Consider the following 20,462-nt stretch of genomic DNA (forward strand, 5'->3'; position numbering starts at 1 on the left):
AGCTCTGTCCTTCTCCTGCAGGCAGCCCTTGAGGGCTCCTTAGAGTATTAGCTTGAAATCCTTCATCTGTCCCAACAGAGCTCTGAGAAGGTCAGTGACTTGCCCAAGGTTCTGCAGAGCCAGCACTAGAACTCAGGTCTCCTGACTCCCAGGCCAGGGCCCTGGAGGCTAGTCCTTTCCTGAAGGGCTGGTGTCACGAGTAAGGACAAGGGGTGGCTAGGCAGCCTCCTTCCTGATCTCAGCTCCCTTAACATGAGTCTTGGGAGGAGGGCCAAGACTCTGGTATGAATGATGCTTTTCTCATCCTGGAGCAACTTCCTTTCTGGGAATTGGGTGTCTCCTTCTGGGCAAAGACAATAAAATTCATCCAAAGGGCCAGAGGAGCAGGGTTCCTCCGGCCCCCACCCAGATGGGCATCACGTGGCTCCCAAGTTAGCAGTCCAGGAAAATTCCAGCCCTTGCATACTTGGCCTCACACACCCATCTGCTCACTCACCCTGGCACATTCAGCCCCCCTAACCCACCTTGAACATTGACCACCACACACTCCCTGGCACGCTCTTCTCACCCTCAACTTCTGCCACCTCTCCCTGGGCAATACTGCCAGCCTTTCCCTAATCTCAGAGCTGCAGCCCTGCCCTGTCACTCACCTCAAACCTGCCATGTCCCTGGGGCTACTGAAATTCCAGGCAGTGGGTGAAGAGGACGAGGAGGATGAGGAGGGGGAGAGCCTGGACTCTGTGAAGGCACTGACAGCCAAGCTGCAGCTGCAGACTCGGCGGCCCTCATATCTGGAGTGGACAGCCCAGGTCCAGAGCCAGGCCTGGCGCAGGGCCCAAGCCAAACCTGGACCAGGGGGACCTGGGGACATCTGTGGTTTCGACTCAATGGACTCCGCCCTTGAGTGGCTCCGACGGGAGCTGGTGAGTCTGGTGGGGTGGGCAGCTTTGCCCAGGGCCTTCAGGCTGGTCCTCCTTAGGGTCCAAGACCACAGGCATGGGGAAGGGATGAGAATGGACCCTGCCTCCAGCAACCGCCCGCTCCGGTGTCCTGGGCTGAGGAGCCGGGAATGGACTTGTCCAGTGTTGTATTCAGGGAGGCTTGCTGAAGAAGGATTCCATCCAATCTACTGACCTTGTGCTCCTGTTGCTTAGGGGACAGAGCACTGGTGTTGGGGGGTGTGGGGCACCATTATAAATAGGGAAATACACAGCCTCCCCTACTCTGGGACTTTCTATGGCCTAAAGATACAGCGAAGTGCAAAAGGAGGCACTGGCCATGCTGCAGGCAGATTCTGAAGAGGTGAAGTTTCAGTAGGTGGCTCCCAACTCAACATGTGCAAATATAAAGATACCCAGGCTCCAACACAGAGATTCTGCTTAGTTGATTTGGGATGGGGCCCAGGCAGTTGGATTTGCTTAATAATGACTCCTTAGCTGGGTTTGAGAACCACCAGGTGAAGCCAGATTGGGAGATAGGGAGAGATCAAGCTGAGGTGAGAGGGGGCTGGGGAGGACACAGTCAGTGCAAAGGCCCAGCGTTGCCAGGAAGGGAGAAACGGCGCGCGGCCGAGGGCCTGTCCAGTAGGCTCACGCCCCCTCTCGGCCGCAGCGGGAGATGCAGGCGCAGGACAGGCAGCTGGCAGGGCAGCTGCTGCGGCTGCGGGCCCAGCTGCACCGACTGAAGATGGACCAAGCCTGTCACCTGCACCAGGAGCTGCTGGATGAGGCCGAGCTGGAGCTGGAGCTGGAGCCCGGGGCCGGCCTAGCCCTGGCCCCGCTGCTGCGGCACCTGGGCCTCACGCGCATGAACATCAGCGCCCGGCGCTTCACCCTCTGCTGAGGAACACCTGTGCCCCCCGACTCCCCGCCCCCTCTCCCAATGCCGCTTCCCCTGCCTGCCTGGGAAGAGGAAAGGGAGGGGTGCCCCAGAGGCACCAGCTCCTGGCGGGGGAGGAGGAACATTCAGGTTTCTGAGAGCTGAATTCCAAGAGTGCAAAACCCCAGCATCCTGTTTCCTCTGCTGACCCAGCTGGGAGGGGGAGGAGGAGGAGCTCACACCCTCAAACTCCTCAATAAACGCTTTCTCTGGTTCCCATCAAGGTCTCTTGCAGTCGTTTATTCAGGCCCAAGGCCGCTATCTGAATGTCGCCTGTCACTGGGACCACCCTAGTTCACTGCAGGCCCATGGGAGGTGACTTAGGTAAATTGGGCTCCTGAAGAATGCAGAATCTGAGAGACATGGGTTCAAAGCCAGCTACCCCGTTTATTTCTTTTTGTTGTTGTTATTTCTTCTGCTTCTTTTTTTTTTTTTTTTTTTGAGGCAGAGTCTCACTCTGTCACCCAGGCTGGAATGCAGTAGCACAATCTCAGCTCACTGCAACCTCCGCCTCCGGGGATCAAGCGATTCTCCTGCCTCAGCCTCCCAAGTAGCTGGGATTACAGGCGGCCACCACCTCGCCTGGCTAATTTCCTTTCTTTTCTTTTCTTTTTTTTTCTTTTTTTTGAGATGGAATTTCACTCTTTCGCCCAGGCTGGAGTAGTGGCGCGATCTTGGCTCACTGCAACCTCCACCTTCTGATTTCAAGCGATTCTCCTGCCTCAGCCTCCCAAGTAGCTGGGATTACAGGTGGCCACCACCTCGCCTAGCTAATTTCCTTTCTTTTCTTTTCTTTTTTTTTTCTTTTTTTTGAGATGGAATTTCACTCTTTCGCCCAGGCTGGAGTAGTGGCGCGATCTTGGCTCACTGCAACCTCCACCTTCCGATTTCAAGCGATTCTCCTGCCTCAGCCTCCCGAGTAGCTGGGATTATAGGCACCCGCCACCATGCCCGGCTAATTTTTGTATTTTTAATAGAGACAGGGTTTCAGCATGTTGGCCAGGCTGGTCTCAAACTCCTGACCTCAAGTGATCCACCTGCCTGGGGTTTCCAAAGTGCTAGGATTACAGGCCTGAGCCACCGTTTATTTCTATTCGACCCTGAGGAGCTCCCTTAACCCCTGAGTCTGTTTCCTCACCTCCACAATGGAGATGCTGATTCTCACTCCACAGGCAGCAGATGTGCCTTACGGGAGATAGTGCACAGTGAGCGCTCAGTGAATATGAACTATTACTCACTCCCAGCGCGGCAGTCTTTCTACTCTGTGCTGAGACAGGGAGATGGACCGTGAAGTGTTCAGGCTTACATTGCAAGGGAGTCTGGGCCCTGCACCAGGCTTGGAGCTCCAACTCTAGGCTCTGTGTCACTGTGAAGGTTTTTCACTTTGTCTCTCTCAGCCTTTGTTTCTGTGTTACCCTCTTTGTCTGACTTTCCAACTCAGGCTTCCTCTTCCCCCCACCTATTTCCTGCCCCCACTTCTCTCTGCAGCTGAGGTGCACACAGCATCGCTTCCACCTCACAAGCCCCAACAATGCTCTGTGGGTTCCCCTCCCCCTACCAGCTCACTCAGGCAGTGACGCATGTGCACTTTCCTCCTGGTGGGGTCAAGGCCGAGTTCTTGGACCTGATGAGGCCACCTGGAGTTCCTCATATCACTGGTGACCTGGCCCTCAGCTAATGATGGGTGCCCCCTCAGCCTGGCCCCAGGGGAAATGGAAATTCTTTGCCTGCCTGCTGCTCGTGACAATCTTCTTGCCTCCTGCTTATAACAGAAAGTCCTGACAGTCTGTGGCCTGCACCTGGGGGCCTGAGCGGCCCTGTTTGCTCTGTCTTCCACCTGTTGCAGGAGATAGTGCCAAGCCCTCCACCTCTGCCAGGGGCTGTGGCCTTGCCTCTACCTGAATTCGAACTGTTGCCCTACTCTCCAACCATGATTAATGGGTGTTGTCCTGGCCTCTGACTACAGCAGGGGCCGTTACTATGCCCTCTTGAAGACATGAGGTTGTCCTGTCTGCCTCCTGAAACAGGCTGTTTTCCAGCATTCTGTCTGTAAGAGGGATGGTAGCCTGCCATTCACCTACCCTTGACTATAATAAAGCTACTGTTCCATGCCCTGAGATGACATGGGAATTGTTCTCTCGGCCTGACCTGACTGTAACATGCATGGTCTGCTCACCAGCTATTTAACAGGGATATTGTCCTCTCCTCTGACTCTGAACGATGCTACCTTTGCTGCCAGACAGAAACAAAAGGGTCTCTCAGCTGCAACGGTGGTGCTGAGGTGCTGTTTGCCTCTCACCATAAGCTGAGTGTGTGTCCGCTTGCCCCCTGCTCACTGGGCCCAAAGGCTGCCCTTGAATCTCTTGCCCAGATGCACCCTGGAGGGCAGAAGGGAGGGTCTATCAGACATCCTCCCCTCAACTTTAAACCTCCCAGTGTCACCCTGGGACAGTAGGGGAAGATGGACCTGGTCTGGAGATGTAGGGGACCCCCAGGGGCTGAGAGGCAGGGGTCTATGGTGGCAGGAAGCTTGGCGTGCTAGAGGGTTGTGGTTGGGCTGCTGGGGCCCGGTTGGCTGCGGAGCCCTCCGGAGGAGGCAGGAAGTCAGGGTGGGACGTGGGCGCGGGGAGACAGGTGGTGGCTACGACGGCGAAGGGAGCTGAGACTGTCCAGGCAGCCAGGTTAGGCCAGGAGGACCATGTGAATGGGGCCAGAGGGCTCCCGGGCTGGGCAGGTAAGGAGCGCTGGTATTGGGGGCGCAGGCGCCGGGGTGAGAGGCCTGATAGCAGACGGCTGCAGCTGTGCGGGCCCAGGCTCCCTAGGGATGCAGCAGCCCTTTGTGGCTGGGGAGAGAAGATCCTCGCTCAAGGTCAGGTGGGAGGCAGGCAGTGTAGCTGGGTCGCCTCTTTCCTGCGAAGCTGGTGTCGCTTGCCTCTGTCGTGCTGTCCACCAGTGGCCCCACCTGACTGGGAGCGTGTTTCCTGGACACCAGGCACATGGACAGTCAGGTGTTAAAAAGGCTTCCAGAAACCACCAAGCCCAGTCCCTCAGGCCATGAGGATGAGGCTCCTGAGGCCCAGAGAGAACAAGGCACTCACTGCCCACGGTTTCTCAGCAAGGCAGTGGCAGGGCTGAGAGTGATGGCTGAGGCTGTGGCCACCCCGCCTGGAGCAGGGTGATGGACAGGCTGGACTCAGAGGACCCAGGAATCCTTCTGGTTTCTGGGGCAGACCCCAGTGACAAGAATCTCCTGAGAAAGAGAGAGAGAGAGAGAGAGAGAGAGAGAGAGAGAGAGAGAGACAGAGATCACCCAAGGCATCCAGATGGACATGCGAGGAGTGATTTTAGCCTCAGCGATCGAGGGAAGAATCTCCTGATGGGCGTGAACTGATATGTGTGGGGGTGTCCATCATCTGGGATGGAGCTCCAGGGTGGATGGACATATCTGATCTGAGTATGGGAAGTTGGAAGTGAAAGAGAATGATGGGAGAAAGGAAGAGGAAGTACTATTTTTATCCCAGACAGGGGTGCAGTTGGTCCTGGGTGAGGAAGCGCTGAACTTCCATCTGGAAAGTCACCATTCCTGCCCCTGCCAAGCGTCACAGCAGGATGTCCTCCCCTCGCCCCTGGCTCCCTCCCGCTTCAGCCCTGCCTGTGTAGGGCCAGTTGGTTTTGCTGATTCCTGCTTCAAACCCCAGGGAGGTGGAGAGAGACTGGGGAGGCATAGTTGCTACCTGCTCACCTCCTCACTTTTTAACTCTGAGCCTTAATTTTTTTGGGAAGTCCTCACTCAGCCAGATTTCCAGGTTTCCCCTGCTTCGTTGGAGTTTTTCTTGACACACACTTTCCGCCTAGTCAGCTGGTCCCAGCCTTTCTCCTGTCTACAGCTCCAAGTCCTGTAGCCTCTTGTGGGGGCTAGGGAACATGGTGGCTCTCCTCGCACTTCAGGGAGGGTCATTCACCCTGGACAGGCATGAGCAGTTCCTTCCACCCAGCCCTATGCTGACAGACGAATCAGACAGGGTCCCTTGCTCTTGGGCCCCAGGAACAGAGGCTCTTCTCAAAGAGAGAAGGGCCAAGTGGACAAGGGCCAAGAACAGGCTGAGCATTGGTTCAGAGGAGGGGAGAAGGTGTCTCTTAAGATCTGGAAAGCTTCCTGCAAGAGTCAAGACAGTTCTGAGAAGGAGAAAGACCCATTTTCAAGAGTGCGTAGGACATGAAGCCAAGGTCACTATCCCTGGATTCTGTTCCTTGGGTACCACGAGGGCAGAGACCTCAGAGCAAGACCAAAGGCCAGAGAGCCCACAGGTGTGGTGTGGAGCAGAGAATGTGCATTTCAGAGACAGGCCGACCCAGTCACAATTCCGCTGGACCATTTCCTTGAGCAAGTGGCTTCATCTCTCTCTCTGAGCTTCAGTTTACTTATCTGTAAAGAGGCAATAATCAAGCTGGGCACGGTGGCTCACACCTGTAATCCCAGCACTTTGGGAGGCTGAGGCGGGCAGATCATTTGAGGCCAGGAGCTTGAGACCAGGCTGGCCGACATGGTGAAACCCTGTCTTCGTTAAAAATGCAAAATTAGCCGAGCGTGGTGGCAGGTGCCTGTAATCCTAGCTACTCAGGGGGCTGAGGCAGAATTGCTTGAACCCGGGATGCACAGGTTGTAATGAGCAGAGATCGAGTCATTGCACTCCAGCCTAGGCAACAGAGCGAAACCCCATCTCAAACAAAAATGCCTCCCGGGTTCAAGTGATTCTCCTGCCTCAGCCTCCCAAGTGCTAGGATTAACAGGCGCGCCACCATGCCCAGCTAATTTTTGCATTTTTAGTAGAGATGGAGTTTCACTATATTGGCCAGGATGGTTTCGATCTCCTGACCTCGTGATCCGCCCACCTCGGCCCCCCAAAGTGCTGGGATTACAGGCATGAGCCACCGCACCTGGCCAGCACATAGTAGGTGTTTAAGGGAGGTGGGGCACTCCCTCCCCCTGCAAATGATGCACCAAAGGGAGGGCTGTCCACACCCAAATTATGCCCACTCAGCACCTTGGTGGGCCAGTGAACCACCCATTCCCTCACACTTGTGGTGTGGCTTTGCAAATCAGCCTGTTTCCTGTATACAGTGTGAGGAGTGTGAGAACTCAGGCAGGCTGGACTCTGAGCGGGGCCATGGGATCTACTTTAGAAGAGGGTCTCTCACGCAGCCACACACAGACACACACACACACACACACACACAAGCCAAAACACCATACATATCATGGGAAAATCTACGTGTACAGATGTGTTCAGAGGCAGGGCAGGGGCTACACATAAAACACAGACTACATCCTATAACTCCATGCACACACCCACGAGCTGATGGCTTCAAGGCCAAGCTCAATTCAGTGAAAGTAATTCTCAGTGGGGTGGGGTGGGGTAGGTGGTGAGGAGCAGGTGGGACCAAGGTACCATCCAGTAATGGGGCCTCTCACAATCAACCTCAGTGTTGATTTTAAAGTATCTGGAGCTAGGGGTTTGAGGCTGCAGTGAGCTGTGATCGCTCCACTGCACTCTGGCCTGGGTGACACAGCTAGATTCTGTCTCTAAAAAATAAACACGGCAGAGTGCAGTGGCTCACGCCTGTAATCCCAGCACTTTGGGAGGCCAAAGCAGGTGGATCACCTGAGGTCAGGAGTTCGAAACCAGCCTGGCCATCATGGTGAATCCCCATCTCCACTAAAAATACAAAAAATTAGCCAGGCATGGTGGTGCATGTCTGTAAACCTCCACCTCCCAGGTTCCAGTGATTCTCCTGCCTTAGCCTCCCCAGTAACTGGGATTACAGGCGTGTGCCACCATGTCTGGCTAAGTTTTGTGGGGTTTTTTTGGTTTGTTTGTTTTTTGTTTTTTTGAGACAGAGTTTTACTCTTGTTGCCCAGGATGGAGTGCAGTGGTGCGAGCTTGGCTCACTGCAACCTCCGTCTCCCTGGTTCAAGTGATTCTGCTGCCTCAGCCTCCCGAGTAGCTGGGATTACAGGCATGGACCACCACGCCCGGCTAATTTTGTGTTTTTAGTAGAGATGGGGTTTCTCCATGTTGGTCAGGCTGATCTTGAACTCCCGATCTCAGGTGATCCGCCTGCCTCAGCCTCCCAAAGTGCTGGGATTACAGGCATGAGCCACCTCGCCCGGCTGTTTTTGTTTCTAATTACAAAATTAGCACATTGCTGTTTTAAAAACACTCAAACAGGCCAGGCACAGTGGCTCGCACCTGTAATCCTAGCACTTTGGGGGGCCGTGATGGGAGGATCACATGGGCCCAGGAGTTTGAGACCTGCCTGGGCAACATAGGCAGACCCCATCTCTATTTAATTATTTAAAAAAAAAATAAAATTTAAAACTCAAACAGTAAGAGGCATATAAAGAAATACAAGAAATGCAGCCTCCTCCAATCCCACTTCTGGGATATGCCCATCGTGAAAAATTTGGTGTGTGTCCTTCCAGATTTTCCCATGTATGGCTGCTGAAAAACATGGAGGTTAAGTCTAGTCTCTGCAGGCTGGCAGACCGGGACTCACTTCACAACTCCACTGCTCATTTGTTTGTTATGAGGCCTCAGACAAATCATTTTACCTGGTTTGGGCCTCAGTCTTTGCATCTGTAAAATGGGGATAATAATAGCACTTCATAGGATTATTATGAGAATTACATGAAATAATGCAAATAAAGGCTTAGCACAGAGCTTATTTAAAAGAATCCCCTGTATACATATGTCAATGCAAATAGGCATATACTCTGCATTCTGTTCTGCAACTTGCTTGCCATGGTGTATGCGGGATGTCTTTCCGTGTCAATACATGTCAATACAAAATACCTCATCCTTTTAACTGTTTCACTAAACGTTAGCTTGGTAAATGGTTAACGGTGGTGATTTTGAAATGTTACTTCCTGGCAAGTGTTGCTGTCATGTGCGGCCATGTTGTCGGCAGTCACAGATATTATTGATCAGTGAGCTAACTACAAGCCTTATAGCCTCCTGTGAAAATGAAGTGACCCACCAGAGGGGCACCCACCTCTGTCACAGAGGGCAGGGCCAAATGCATGGGACGCTCTCTGTCTGCTTACTTCTGCATCCTCAGCTCTAGGTCAGAATCTGGCACATAGGAGGTACCCATTAAATTTATTTTTTTTTTTTTTTTTTTTGAGACAGTGTCTCAGTCTGTTGCCCCGGCTGGGGCACATGGTGTGATCATAGCTCACTGTAACTTCACACACCTGGGCTTGAGTGGTTCTCCCACCTCAGCTTCCTGAGTAGCCTAGGACTACAGATGTGTACCACCATGCCCAGCTAATTATAAAAAAATTCTTGGCCAGGCACAGTGGCTCATGCCTATAATCCCAATACTTTGGGAGGCTGAGGCAGGAAGATCTCTTGAGACTAGGCATTCAAGACTAGCCTGGGCAACATAGCAACACCCCGTCTCTATTAAAACATAATAATAACAATACAATTTATTTATTTATTTATTTAGTTATTTATAGATGGAGTCTTGCTCTGTCACCCAGGCTGGAGTGCAGTGGCACTATCTCAGCTCACTGCAACCTCTGTCTCCGGGTTCAAGCAATTCTCCTGCCTCAGCTTCCCAAGTAGCTGGGACTATAGGCACATGCCACCAAGCCCGGCTAACTTTTGTATTTTTAGTAGAAATGGGGTTTCTACTAAACTCCCAACACTTTGGGAGGGTGAGGTGGGTGCATCATCTGAGGTCAGGAGTTTGAAACCAGCCTGGCCAACATGGTGAAACCCTGTCTCTACTAAAAATACAACAAATTAGCCAGGCGTGGTGGCAGGCGCCTGTAATCCCAGTTACTTGGGAGGCTGAGACAGGAGAATTGCTTGAACTCGGGAAGTGGAGGTTGCAGTGAACCGAGATCGTGCCATTGCACTCCAGCCTGGGCAACAAGAGCAAAACTCTGTCTTAAAAAAAAAAAGTGTGTGGAGATAAGATCTCACTATTTTGCCCAAGCTGCACTCACACTATGTATGGTCTCAAGCAATCGTCCTACCTCACCCATTACATTTTTGTCAATAGGCCAGCTCCTTTAATCCACAAGCAGCAGCCTAAGCCCAAAGTTCTCTCTTGCAGTGTGGCATTTCCTAAAATATGACCTGTACACCACTCAGGTGTGTAAGTGATTTTAGGGGATAATGGATGACCATTTACGAATGTTAATTTATGTGTTTATTTTAGTGTGCGCTGTTGTTTCACTTCTATTTATGTCTCATGATTCTGGTTTTCCATTTATGGTAGTAAAGTTTCCATTTTAGGTACATATATCAAACGTGAAAAGGTAGCCCGTGGAAGTGCCAAAAATCATGAAGGAAAATGAAAATGATCAATCATTTTAGCCTGAAAGATGTTTAAGGCCAGTGTCTATGTAGCAAGCACTATGTTAAGCATTTTATTATATGAGATCATCTATATATCACGTATAATGCTCACCACAGCCAGCCTTAGATGCAAGTCTTATTTTTGTCATCATTTTGCTGATGAAGGAACTGAGGGAAGTGCAGAGGTTTAGTAAGCTGCCCAACAACCTTCTGCCAGTAAGTCTTGTTTTTTTTTTTTTTGTTTTTTTTGTTTTTTTGAGACAAGGTCTTGCTCTGTCGCCTAGGCTGGAGCGTAGTGGCCCAATCTTGGCTAACTGTAGCCTTGACCTCCCCAATCTCAGGTGATCCTCTCACCTCAGCCTCCCAAGTAGCTGGGACCACAAGCATGGGACACAAAGTCCGGCTAATTTTTGTATTTTTTTTGTACCGACGGGGTTTTGCCATGTTGCCCAGGCTGGTCTCAAACTCCTGGGCTCACGTATCTGTCTGCCCACCTTAGCCTCCCAAAGTGCTGGGATTATAGGTGTGAACCACCACGCCTGGTGCCCTTCTGCCAGCAAGTGATTGGGAGAACCTGGATTGAATTTGGGTTGCCATGGCATGGACATGGTGAACTGAGCTTCCAGAGCTGCCAGACTCCCAGAAACGTTTATAAAGCAGTGTGGATTGCCAAGCTGTAAGTAAGGCTCCATCCTAATAAAACTGTCCATGATACAAAAAGCACACCAAAGTACCCAAGGGAGCGGACTCAGTAAAAGGGATTATCAGGTATATTCACGTTACTGGTTGGGGGACTTCTACTAAAATACCAATTAGAATAATTGCTCTATATCCCTTATTTATAGCGATACTTGACTAGCAGAATCAGTTCTATGTTCAAGACACTCCCAATTTGTGAAAATAAATCCATTTTGTTTGCATCCAAAATAATGCTTTTTTTTTTGTTCTCTCTGTGTCGAGAGGCTACAGAGTTCATTCAAAAAAGGTATTAAGCCAGGTGTGGTGGCTTGCACCTATAATCACAGCATTTTGGGAGGCCAAAGCAAGGGGACTGCTTGAGCCCAGGAGCTCAAGACCAGCCTGGGGAACATAGGCAGACCCCGTCTCTACAAAAAATAAAAAAATTAACTGGGCTTGGTGGTGTGTACCTGTGGTCCCAGCTACTCAGGAGGCTGAGGTGGGAGGATCACTTGAGCCCAGGTGGTTGAGGCTGCAGTGAGCCATGATCATGCCACCGCACTCCAGCCTGGGCAACAGAGTGAGATCCCATCTCTAAAGGAAAAAAAAAAAAAAGAGAGAGAGCGGAATTAAAGCCAGGTGCAGTGGCTCCTGCCTGTAATCCCAGCTATTCGGGAGGCTGAGGTGGGAGGATTACTTGAGGCCAGAAGTTTCAGGTTGCAGTGAGCTACAATCATGTGCTGTACTACTCCAGCCTGGGTGACAGAGTGAGATGTGAGACTCCATCTCTTTAAAAAAAAAAAAAAAAACCAGGCTGGGCGCAGTGGCTCACACCTGTAATCCCAGCACTTTGGGAGGCGGAGGCAGGTGGATCACAACATCAGAAGTTCGAGACCAGCCTGACCAACATAGTGAAACTAAAATTAGTTTCTACTAAAAAACACGTCTCTACTAAAAATACAAAAAATTAGCTAGGCATGGTGGCGGGTGCCTGTAATCCCAGCTACTCGGGAGGCTGAGGCAGGAGAATCGCTTGAACCTGGGAGGTGGAGGTTGCAGTGAGCTGAGATCACGTCACTGCACTCCAGCCTGGGCAACAGTGCGAGACTCCGTCTCAAAAAAAAAAAAAAAAAAAACCCAGCCTGTGTGACGTGGTGAGACCCTGTCCCTACTAAAAATACAAAAATTATCCAGGCGTGGTGTTGCCCACCCATAGTGCCAGCTACTCAGGAGGCTGAGGTAGGAGGATCACCTGAGCTATGGGAGGTCGAGGCTGCAGTGAGCCATGATTGTGTCACTGCACTCCAGTCTGGGCCACAGAGTGAGATACCATCTCAAAAAAAAAAAAAGTATTATGTATTTAAACAAATATGAAAAAGGAGGTAGCCCAGGACACATCCCTGATTTACCCACTAGAAATTAATTACTGACGGGGCACGGTAGCCCATGCCTGTAATCCCAGCACTTTAAGGGGCTGAGGCAGTGGATTGCTTAAGCTCAGGAGTTTGAGACTAGCCTGAGCAACATGGCAAAACCCTGTCTCTACAAAAATTAAAAAAATACAAAAATTACCCGGGCCCTCTCATTCACAGCTTCTCAGGTAAAAAAAAAAAAAGAAAAAGAAAAAGAAAAAAAAAATAGCTGGAGGCTGGGTGCGGTGGCTCATGCCACACCTGTAATCCCACACTTTGGGAGGCCAATGCAGGCAGATCACTTGAGGCCAAGAGTTCTAGACTACCCTGGCCAACATGGTGAAACCCCATCTCTACTAAAAATACAAACATTAGCCAGGTGTGGTGGCACACGCCTGTAGTCCCAGCTCCTCGGGAGGCTGAGGTAGGATAATTGCTTGAACCTGGGAGGCAGAGGTTGCAGTGAGCCGAGATTGCACCACTGCACTCCAGCCTGGGCGATAGAGTGAGACTTCATCTAAAAAAATAAAAATAATAATAATAATAATAATGATAATAATAATAGCCAGGCGTGGTGGCACATGCCTGTTGTCCCAGTTACTCAGGAGGCTGAGGTGGGAGGATTGCTTGAGCCCGGGAGGTCGAGGCTTCAGTGAGCTGTGATTTTGCCACTGCACTCCAGTGGCACAAGAGAGCAAGAGAGCAAGAGGGCAAGACCCTGTCTCAAAATAAAATAAAATAAAGAAAGAAATTATTTGCCATGCCTGCTAGCCCTGATTCTTGATATTGCTTGATATTGTCATGAGGGTTCTATGTGGGCATGAATAGCTAAGGCTCTTTATTGAACATGGGCAGCTTTGTCATTAATCAAGTCTGGGTCGGGGCAAAGGCGAAGAAAATGTTTTAAATGATTCATTTTTTTTTAATTTTATTTTTATTTTTATTTTATTTTATTTTATTTTTGAGACAGAGTCTTGCTCTGTCGCCACGCTGGAGTGCAGTCCCGGGTTTAAGCAATTCTCCTGCCTCAGCCTTCCGAGTAGCTGGGACTACAGGTGTGCACCACCACGTTCAGCTAATTTTTTGTATTTTTAGTAGAGATGAGGTTTCGCCATGTTGGCCAGAATGGTCTCGATCTCTTGACCTCATGATCCACCCACCTCAGCCTCCCAAAGTGTTGGGGTTACAGGTGTGAACCACTGCGCCTGGCCTTTTATTTTTATTTTTACAGAGACAAAGTCTCACTATGTTGCCCAGGCTGGTCTTGAACTTCTGAGCTCAAGTGATTTTCCCATCTCGGCCCTAGGATTACAGGCGTGAGCCTCCAGCCCTGGCTATTCTAAATGATTTCTGACAGATTTTGCCATGAGGTGGTCCAGAGTACAACAATGGTCTGCAGTAGAATAGTCTGCTTGTTCTTTTTTCTTTTTTACTTTTTGTGCTCTACATGTTCAGAGAAACTGAACTAAAGAAATGATCCCTAAAGGAAGTATAGTCTTGTCTGCTGTTTTTTGTGTTGCTTTGTTTGTTTTGTTTTGTTTGAGAGAGGTTCTTGCTCTTTCCCCCAGGCTAGAGTACAGTGGTATGATATTGGCTCACTGCAACCTCAACCTCCTGGGCTCAGCGATCCTCCTACCTTAACCTCCTGAGTAGCTAGGACTACAGGCGTGCACCACCACACCTGGTTAATTTTTGTATTTTTTGTAGAGATGAGTTCTCACCATGTTGCCCAGGTTGGTCTTGAACTCCTGGCCTCGAGTGATCCTTCCACTTTGGCCTTCCAAAATGTTGAGATTACTGGCGTGAGCCATTGCATCCGACCACCTGCCTGTTCTTGATGTAAAGCATTGGCCCAAGAAACTCAGCCACGAAGCTGGCACACATTTTGGACAAAATGTTCAATAAATCAATAGGTCTATAGTTGGAGGAGAAAAAATGTTAACTTAAAAATTTTTTTTAATTTAATTTAATTAATTTTTTCTTTTTTTGAGACAGGGTCCCCTGTCGCCCAGACTGGTGTGCAGTGGTATAATCACGGCTCACTGCAGCCTTGACTTCCTGGGCTCAGTGATCCTCCCACTTCAGCCTCCTGGGTAGCTAGGACTACAGGCAAATGCCATCACGCCATCATGCTTGGCTAATTTTTTTTTTTTTTTTTTTTTTTTTGAGACAGAGTCTCACTCCATGGACCAGGCTGGAGTGCAGTGGCGTGATGTCCACTCACTGCAACCTCCGCTTCCCCAGTTCAAGAGATTCTCCTGCTGGCCGGGCATGGTGGTGGCTCAAGCCTGTAATCCCAGCACTTTGGGAGGCCGAGGTGGGCGGATCACGAAGTCAGGAGTTCAAGACCAGCCTAGCCAACATAGTGAAACCCCGTCTCTACTAAAAATACAAAAATTAGCTGGGCCTGGTGGAACGTGACTGTAATCCCAGCTACTTGGGAGGCTGAGGCAGGATAATCACTTGAACCTGGGAGTTGGAGGTTGCAGTGAGCCGAGATCGTGCCACTGCTCCCTAGCCTGGGCGACACAGTGAGACTCTGTCCTCTGTCTCAAAAAAAAAAAAAAAAAAAGGGCCAGGTGTGGTGGCTTACACCTGTAATCTCAGCACTTTGGAGGCCGAGGTGGGCAGATCATGAGGTCAGGAGTTTAAGACCAGCCTGACCAACATGGTGAAACCCCGTCTCTACTAAAAATACAAAAATTAGCCGGGCATACTAGGCGCATGCCTCCAATCCCAGCTACTCCGGAGGCTGAGGCAGGAGAATCGCTTGAACCTGGGAGGCAGAGGTTGCAGTGAACCGAGATCACACCATTGCACTCCAGCCTGGGCAACAGAACTAGACTCTGTCAGAAAAAAAAAAAAAAAAAAAAAAAGAGATTCTCCTGCCTCAGCCTCCCAAGTAGCTCAAGTAGCTGGGACTACAGTCACGTGCCACCACACCCAGATAATCTTTGTATTTTTAGTAGAGATGGGGTTTCACCATGTTGGCCAGGCTGGTCTCAAAATCCAGACCTCAAGTGATTCACCTGCCTCGGCCTCCCAAAGTGCTGGGGTTACAGGTGTGAGCCACGGCCCCCGGTAGCCGGACGCCGGCCACTAATTATATAGCTGAGCATGGTCGGGTGCCGTGGCTCACACCTGTAATCCCAGCACTTTGGGAAGCCGAGGCAGGTGAATCACTTGAGGACTGGATTTTGAGACCAGCCTGGCCAACATGGTGAAACCCCATCTCTGCTAAAAATACAAAAATCAGCTGGGTGTGGTGGTGCGTGCCTATAATCCCAGCTACTTGGGAGGCTGTGGCAGGAGAATCTCTTTTTCTTTTCTTTTTTTTTTTTTTGATGGAGTCTAGTTCTGTCACCCAGGCTTGAGTGCAATGGCGCGATCTCGGCTCACTGCAACCTCTGTCTCCTGGGTTCAAGCGATTCTCCTGCCTCAGCCTCCTGAGTAGCTGGGATTACAAGCATGCGCCTAGTACACCTGGCTAATTTTTGTATTTTTAGTAGAGACGGGGTTTCACCATGTTGGTCAGGCTGCTCTCGAACTCCTGGGCTCAAGGAGTCCTACTGCCTCAGCCTCCCAAAGTGCTGGGATTACAGGCGTGAGTCACCATGCCCAGACTCCTTCTGGTCTTAGTTTGATAAAGATTGCTGAGTAGCCAACATGATCTAACCAGGTTAATAAATGAGGTCAGTAAAAAGAAAATCAAAATTAAAGCTTAATATAAATTTCTCATTGTCTGAAAGAAAGAAGTGGAGGAAGGGAGAAAAAAAAAAAAAAAAAAACAGATGAAAGGAATCCCCAGGGCTCCCAGAACCAGCAATGAGGGCAGATTCTGGGGTGAATGAAACAGGACATTCTTTTCTCCCAATTTAGGAATCCAAGGTCACGAGTAAGAATTTCATAGATTCGAGGCTGCCTCTGACTAGGGCATGTAATGTTCTCAGTCAAACTTAAGGCTGCCCGTGGTCCACAGAACATTTTGTGATGATTATAAAAAGGCCACAGGCCAGGTCTGGTGACTCATGCCTGTCATCCCAGCACTTTGGGAAGCGGAGGTGGGCAGGCCACTTGAGGTTGGGAGTTCGAGACCAACCTGGCCAACATGGTGAAACCCTGTCTCTACTAAAAATAATAAAAATTAGCGGGCATGGTGGTGCATGCCTGTAATCTCAGCTACTTGGGAGGCTCAAACAGGAGAAATTGCTTGAACCCAGGATGTGGAGGTTGCAGTCAGCTGCGATTGTGCCACTGCACTCCAGCCTGGGGGACAGAGGAAGACTCCGTCTCAAAATAAATAAAATAAATAAATAAATAAATAAATAAATAAATAAATAAATAAATAAAAATTAGACTGGGCATGGTGGCCCATGCCTGCCATCCCAACACTTTCGGAGTCTGAGGTGGGAGGACTGCTTGAGCCCATGAGTTTGAGACCAGCCTGGGCAACATGGTGAAACCTTGTCACTGCAAAAAAGTAAAAATAAAAGGCTGGGCATGGTGGCTTATGCCTGTAATCCCAGCACTTTGGGAGGCCAAGGTGGCAGGTTAGTAATCCCAGCACTTTGGGAGGCCAAGGTGGCAGGTTACTTGAGCCCAGGAGTTCAAGACCAGACTGGCCAACATGGTGAAACCCCATCATTACAAAAAACACAAAAATTAGTCAGGCTTGGTGGCATGGGCCTGCAGTCCCCACTACTCAGGAGGCTGAGGTAAGAGGATCCCTTGAGCACAGGAGGCAGGAGTTTGCAGTGAGCTGAGACAGTGCCACTGCACTGCACTCCAGCCTGTGCGACAGAGCAAGACCCTGTTTAAAAAAAAAAAAAGAAGAAGACCGGAAGGATGGGGTATACCCACATTTTGTATAAACAGATGTATGCCTATATGACTTCACAATTACATAGGGACGGTCGCTGCTATTCATAGTCTCATTCTGTTATATATCCCTCTGCACACACAGACTCCTGCAAACCCACAGATATGCACCCATAAGCACAGGGCTCACTGCATATGTTTTCATATGCACAGACTTGCATTCAACAGGCAGGTAAATATATACCCAGAAACGTGCATTCCAGGTAGAGGGGGGATTGTCTTGAAGAGAAAAGCCTTTGTTAACAGCACAGTGGTCAAATTTTTGATGGGAAATGGACCCTACCCTGTCAGACCTGCCTTCCTGCCTCACATTCTCCTAGACCTCTCAGCCCTCCCCCTCCACCCTTAGACTTTCCAGGGAGTGAAAAGTAGAGGAGAGGATCTTGATAAAGGATGTAGGAGCCAAGCCAGGCATATGCCAGCAATCCCAGCTATTTGGGAGGCTGAGGTGGGAGAAGCGCTTGAGCCCAGGAGTTAGAGACCAGCCTGGGCAACGTAGTGAGACCTCGTCTAAAAAAAAAAGGATGTAAGGTTTTGATATGAGTTTTGCATCTGCCAGGAACCCTCAGTGTATTATTGGGACAATCACTGAACCTCTCCTTTTCCCCAGTTTTAAAATGAGGCTGATGAACTGTATTTGTGTTTCCTAAACTCTTGTGAAGACAAAGTGTCTTTTACCATTCCCTGTTCTACACTCCCTCTTCCCCACATGGATCTCATGATTTTAAAGTTTTTACCTACTAAGCTACCTCATTTAGATGCAAATTTTCTTATTTTCAAGTTAAAAAAATTTTTCTTTTAATAGAGAAAGGGTCTCACCACGTTGCCCAGGCTGGTCTCAAACTCCGGGGCTCAATCGATCCTCTCTCCTCAGCCTCCCAAAGTGCTGGGATTACAGGTGTGAGTCACTGCACCTGGCCTCAAGTTTACATTTTAATCAAAGATTTGGCTGGGCACAGTGGCTCTCGCTTGTAATCTCAGCACTTTGGGAGGCCGAGGCAGGTGGATCACCTGAGGTCAGGAGTTCAAGACCAGCTTGGGCAACATGGTGAAACCTCATCTCTACTAAAAATAGAGAGATTAGCTGGGCGTGGCGGCACGTGCCTGTAATCCCAGCTGCTCGGGAGGCTGAGGCACGGAGGTTGCAGTGAGCCAAGATTGCGCCACTGCACTCCAGCCTGGGTGACAGAGTGAGACTTTGTCTCAAAAAAAAAAAAAAATGTAATCAGCGATTTAATTAAGTATGCAATGAAGAAATAAATAATACAATTTGTCAAAACAAGAAACAAAGTATAGTGGAATTTCCTTTCAGATTTTTGAAATATTAAAATAACCTAAAGGCCTCCCCGGCACTAGCCTGGGACTTCCTGGGAGCATGTAAACTTCAGGCTGGGAGCCTCTGACTACAAACATTTCTGGCATTGCCAGATCCTATGGACTTACGATTGCTGCCAGGCCCTATCCTCCAAAGCTCACATGCTTATAGAGGGCAGGAACTGCCACCTGTAGCTGGGGGGCCATAGAGGAAACAGTAGAGGCCAGATACCCTGCAAAGCTAGAGTTCCTCTGATCTTAATTTAACATAGGCTGACTTTTTCTCACTTTTTGCCCAGTCTTAAGTCGGGGATTTTCTGGCCCAGATTCAGTCCAGAATCTAGGACCTGCCTTGCATGCTTTCCTGGATCCTAGCCCAAGGCCTTGTGATTCCTTTTCCCTCCCCACCTGACCCCAGCCTGGACCAGGTACCAGCTTCCAGCCCCATGATCTCCAACCTAGATTCCTTCTGCTTCTTCTACTGGCCTTTTCTCACTGTTGCACCATAGTTTATCTCTTCTCCTTCTCCTCCTCCTTCTTCTTCCTCTTCTTTTTTTCCTTTATATAGAGACTGAGTCTTGCTACGTTGCCCAGGCTGGTCTGAAACTCTTGGCAATTCTCCTGCCTTGGTTTCCCAAAGGGATTACAGACATGAGCTACAGCACCCGGCCTTGTTTTGAGACAGGGTGTTGCTCTCTTGCTCTGTTATCCAGGCTGGAGTGCAGTGGCGTGTTCACGGCTCACTGCCGCCTCAACCTCCCAGGCTCAAGTGATCCTCCCCACTCAGCCTCCTGAGTAGCTAGGACTACAGGGGCGCACCACCATGCCCTGCTAATTTTCAGATTTTTTTTGTAGAGATAAGGTCTCACTGTGTTACCCAGGCACTGGTCTCTAATTCCTGGGCTCAAGAGATCCTCCTGGCCGGGCACGGTGGCTCACGCCTGTGATCCCAGAACTTTGGGAGGCTGAGGCGGGCAAATCACAAGGTCAGGAGATCAAGACCATCCTGGCTAACATGGTGAAACCCCGTCTCTACTAAAAATACAAAAAAAAAAAAATAGCCGGGCACAGTGGCGGGCGCCGGTAGTTCCAGCTACTCGGGAGGCTGAGGCAGGAGAAGGGCGTGAACCCAGGAGGCAGAGCTTGCAGTGAATGAGTCGTGATCACGCCACTGCACTCCAGCCTGGGCAACAGAGCGAGACTCTGTCTCAAAAAAAAAAAAAAAAAAGAGAGATCCTCCTGCCTCAGCCTCCAAAAGGGCTGAGATTATAGGCCTGAGCTACTACGCCCTTTCTTCCTCCTCCTCCTCCTCCGCCACCACCACCTCCTCTCCTCCTTCACCTCCTCCTCCTCTTCCTCCTCCCCCTCCTCATCCCTCTCCTCCCCCTCCCCTTCCCCCTCCTCCCCATCCCCTTCCCCCTCCTCCCCCTCCCCTTCCCCCTCCTCCCCCTCCTCTTCCCCCTCCTCCCCTCCCCCTCCCCTTCCCCCTCCTCCCCCTCCTCTTCCCCCTCCTCCCCCTCCCCCTCCCCTTCCCCCTCCCTTTCTTTCTCCTCCTTCTTCTTCTTTCCCATCTCTCCCTTCCTCCTATACATTCCCTCTTCTTAACCTCAAACTTCTACAATCTTTCTCTTGCCTTTTTCTAAAGGCTCCAAGAATGTCAAGCCTGGCAGGGACCTTACTGGTCTAAGTCCACATTCCATCTGATGTTGGTATTCTCTTTACAACACAACCAACTTGTGGTTTCCTAAGGCTCATACGACTATCACAAACAACAGGATGCTCACTACCTCACAAAACAGCTCAGCTTATCTGAGACCAGTTCCAGGTTGCTGTTAGTCCTTTACTGGGGGCTCTTGTTGCTAATTACTCTCAGGCTATAATAGTCAAAAAGTCATTTGCAGTCACAGATGGGTGCACTCTGGTCTAGCAG

The 20,462-nt window shown here is 50.1% G+C and overlaps 2 protein-coding genes across 5 annotated transcripts in view, besides 11 other annotated features; both read left to right on the top strand.

Moving 5' to 3' along the window:
* FAM167B (family with sequence similarity 167 member B) lies at positions 463-2,097 on the top strand. The gene is made up of 2 exons (NM_032648.3): positions 463-923; positions 1,612-2,097. The coding sequence occupies exons 1-2, from the start codon at positions 663-665 to the stop codon at positions 1,840-1,842; spliced, it is 492 nt and encodes a 163-aa protein (NP_116037.2). The 5' UTR covers positions 463-662; the 3' UTR covers positions 1,843-2,097.
* Positions 1,721-1,880: an enhancer, noted in NCBI's record as "active region_678". NCBI's record gives its function as "activates an Ori minimal core promoter by ATAC-STARR-seq in GM12878 lymphoblastoid cells {active_cell/tissue: GM12878}" and the evidence as "EXISTENCE:reporter gene assay evidence [ECO:0000049][PMID:35858748]".
* Positions 3,109-3,318: an enhancer, noted in NCBI's record as "active region_679". NCBI's record gives its function as "activates an Ori minimal core promoter by ATAC-STARR-seq in GM12878 lymphoblastoid cells {active_cell/tissue: GM12878}" and the evidence as "EXISTENCE:reporter gene assay evidence [ECO:0000049][PMID:35858748]".
* Positions 3,509-3,718: an enhancer, noted in NCBI's record as "active region_680". NCBI's record gives its function as "activates an Ori minimal core promoter by ATAC-STARR-seq in GM12878 lymphoblastoid cells {active_cell/tissue: GM12878}" and the evidence as "EXISTENCE:reporter gene assay evidence [ECO:0000049][PMID:35858748]".
* Positions 3,769-3,858: an enhancer, noted in NCBI's record as "active region_681". NCBI's record gives its function as "activates an Ori minimal core promoter by ATAC-STARR-seq in GM12878 lymphoblastoid cells {active_cell/tissue: GM12878}" and the evidence as "EXISTENCE:reporter gene assay evidence [ECO:0000049][PMID:35858748]".
* LCK (LCK proto-oncogene, Src family tyrosine kinase) overlaps positions 4,506-20,462 on the top strand; it is a 34,901-nt gene continuing 18,944 nt past the window's right edge. For all 4 annotated transcript variants that reach the window (NM_001439146.1, XM_011541453.3, NM_005356.5 and 1 more), the window contains exon 1: positions 4,506-4,612. The gene's annotated coding sequence lies outside the window, so the exon portion shown is untranslated. The remainder of the gene's footprint in view (positions 4,613-20,462) is intronic.
* Positions 6,599-6,698: a silencer, noted in NCBI's record as "silent region_587". NCBI's record gives its function as "represses an Ori minimal core promoter by ATAC-STARR-seq in GM12878 lymphoblastoid cells {active_cell/tissue: GM12878}" and the evidence as "EXISTENCE:reporter gene assay evidence [ECO:0000049][PMID:35858748]".
* Positions 6,719-6,798: a silencer, noted in NCBI's record as "silent region_588". NCBI's record gives its function as "represses an Ori minimal core promoter by ATAC-STARR-seq in GM12878 lymphoblastoid cells {active_cell/tissue: GM12878}" and the evidence as "EXISTENCE:reporter gene assay evidence [ECO:0000049][PMID:35858748]".
* Positions 6,859-6,908: a silencer, noted in NCBI's record as "silent region_589". NCBI's record gives its function as "represses an Ori minimal core promoter by ATAC-STARR-seq in GM12878 lymphoblastoid cells {active_cell/tissue: GM12878}" and the evidence as "EXISTENCE:reporter gene assay evidence [ECO:0000049][PMID:35858748]".
* Positions 6,999-7,078: an enhancer, noted in NCBI's record as "active region_682". NCBI's record gives its function as "activates an Ori minimal core promoter by ATAC-STARR-seq in GM12878 lymphoblastoid cells {active_cell/tissue: GM12878}" and the evidence as "EXISTENCE:reporter gene assay evidence [ECO:0000049][PMID:35858748]".
* Positions 7,159-7,308: an enhancer, noted in NCBI's record as "active region_683". NCBI's record gives its function as "activates an Ori minimal core promoter by ATAC-STARR-seq in GM12878 lymphoblastoid cells {active_cell/tissue: GM12878}" and the evidence as "EXISTENCE:reporter gene assay evidence [ECO:0000049][PMID:35858748]".
* Positions 7,589-7,688: an enhancer, noted in NCBI's record as "active region_684". NCBI's record gives its function as "activates an Ori minimal core promoter by ATAC-STARR-seq in GM12878 lymphoblastoid cells {active_cell/tissue: GM12878}" and the evidence as "EXISTENCE:reporter gene assay evidence [ECO:0000049][PMID:35858748]".
* Positions 18,136-18,435: a silencer, noted in NCBI's record as "silent region_590". NCBI's record gives its function as "represses an Ori minimal core promoter by ATAC-STARR-seq in GM12878 lymphoblastoid cells {active_cell/tissue: GM12878}" and the evidence as "EXISTENCE:reporter gene assay evidence [ECO:0000049][PMID:35858748]".

This window comes from Homo sapiens, chromosome 1, assembly GCF_000001405.40.
Source record: "Homo sapiens chromosome 1, GRCh38.p14 Primary Assembly".
Classification (NCBI taxonomy): Eukaryota; Metazoa; Chordata; class Mammalia; order Primates; family Hominidae; genus Homo; species Homo sapiens.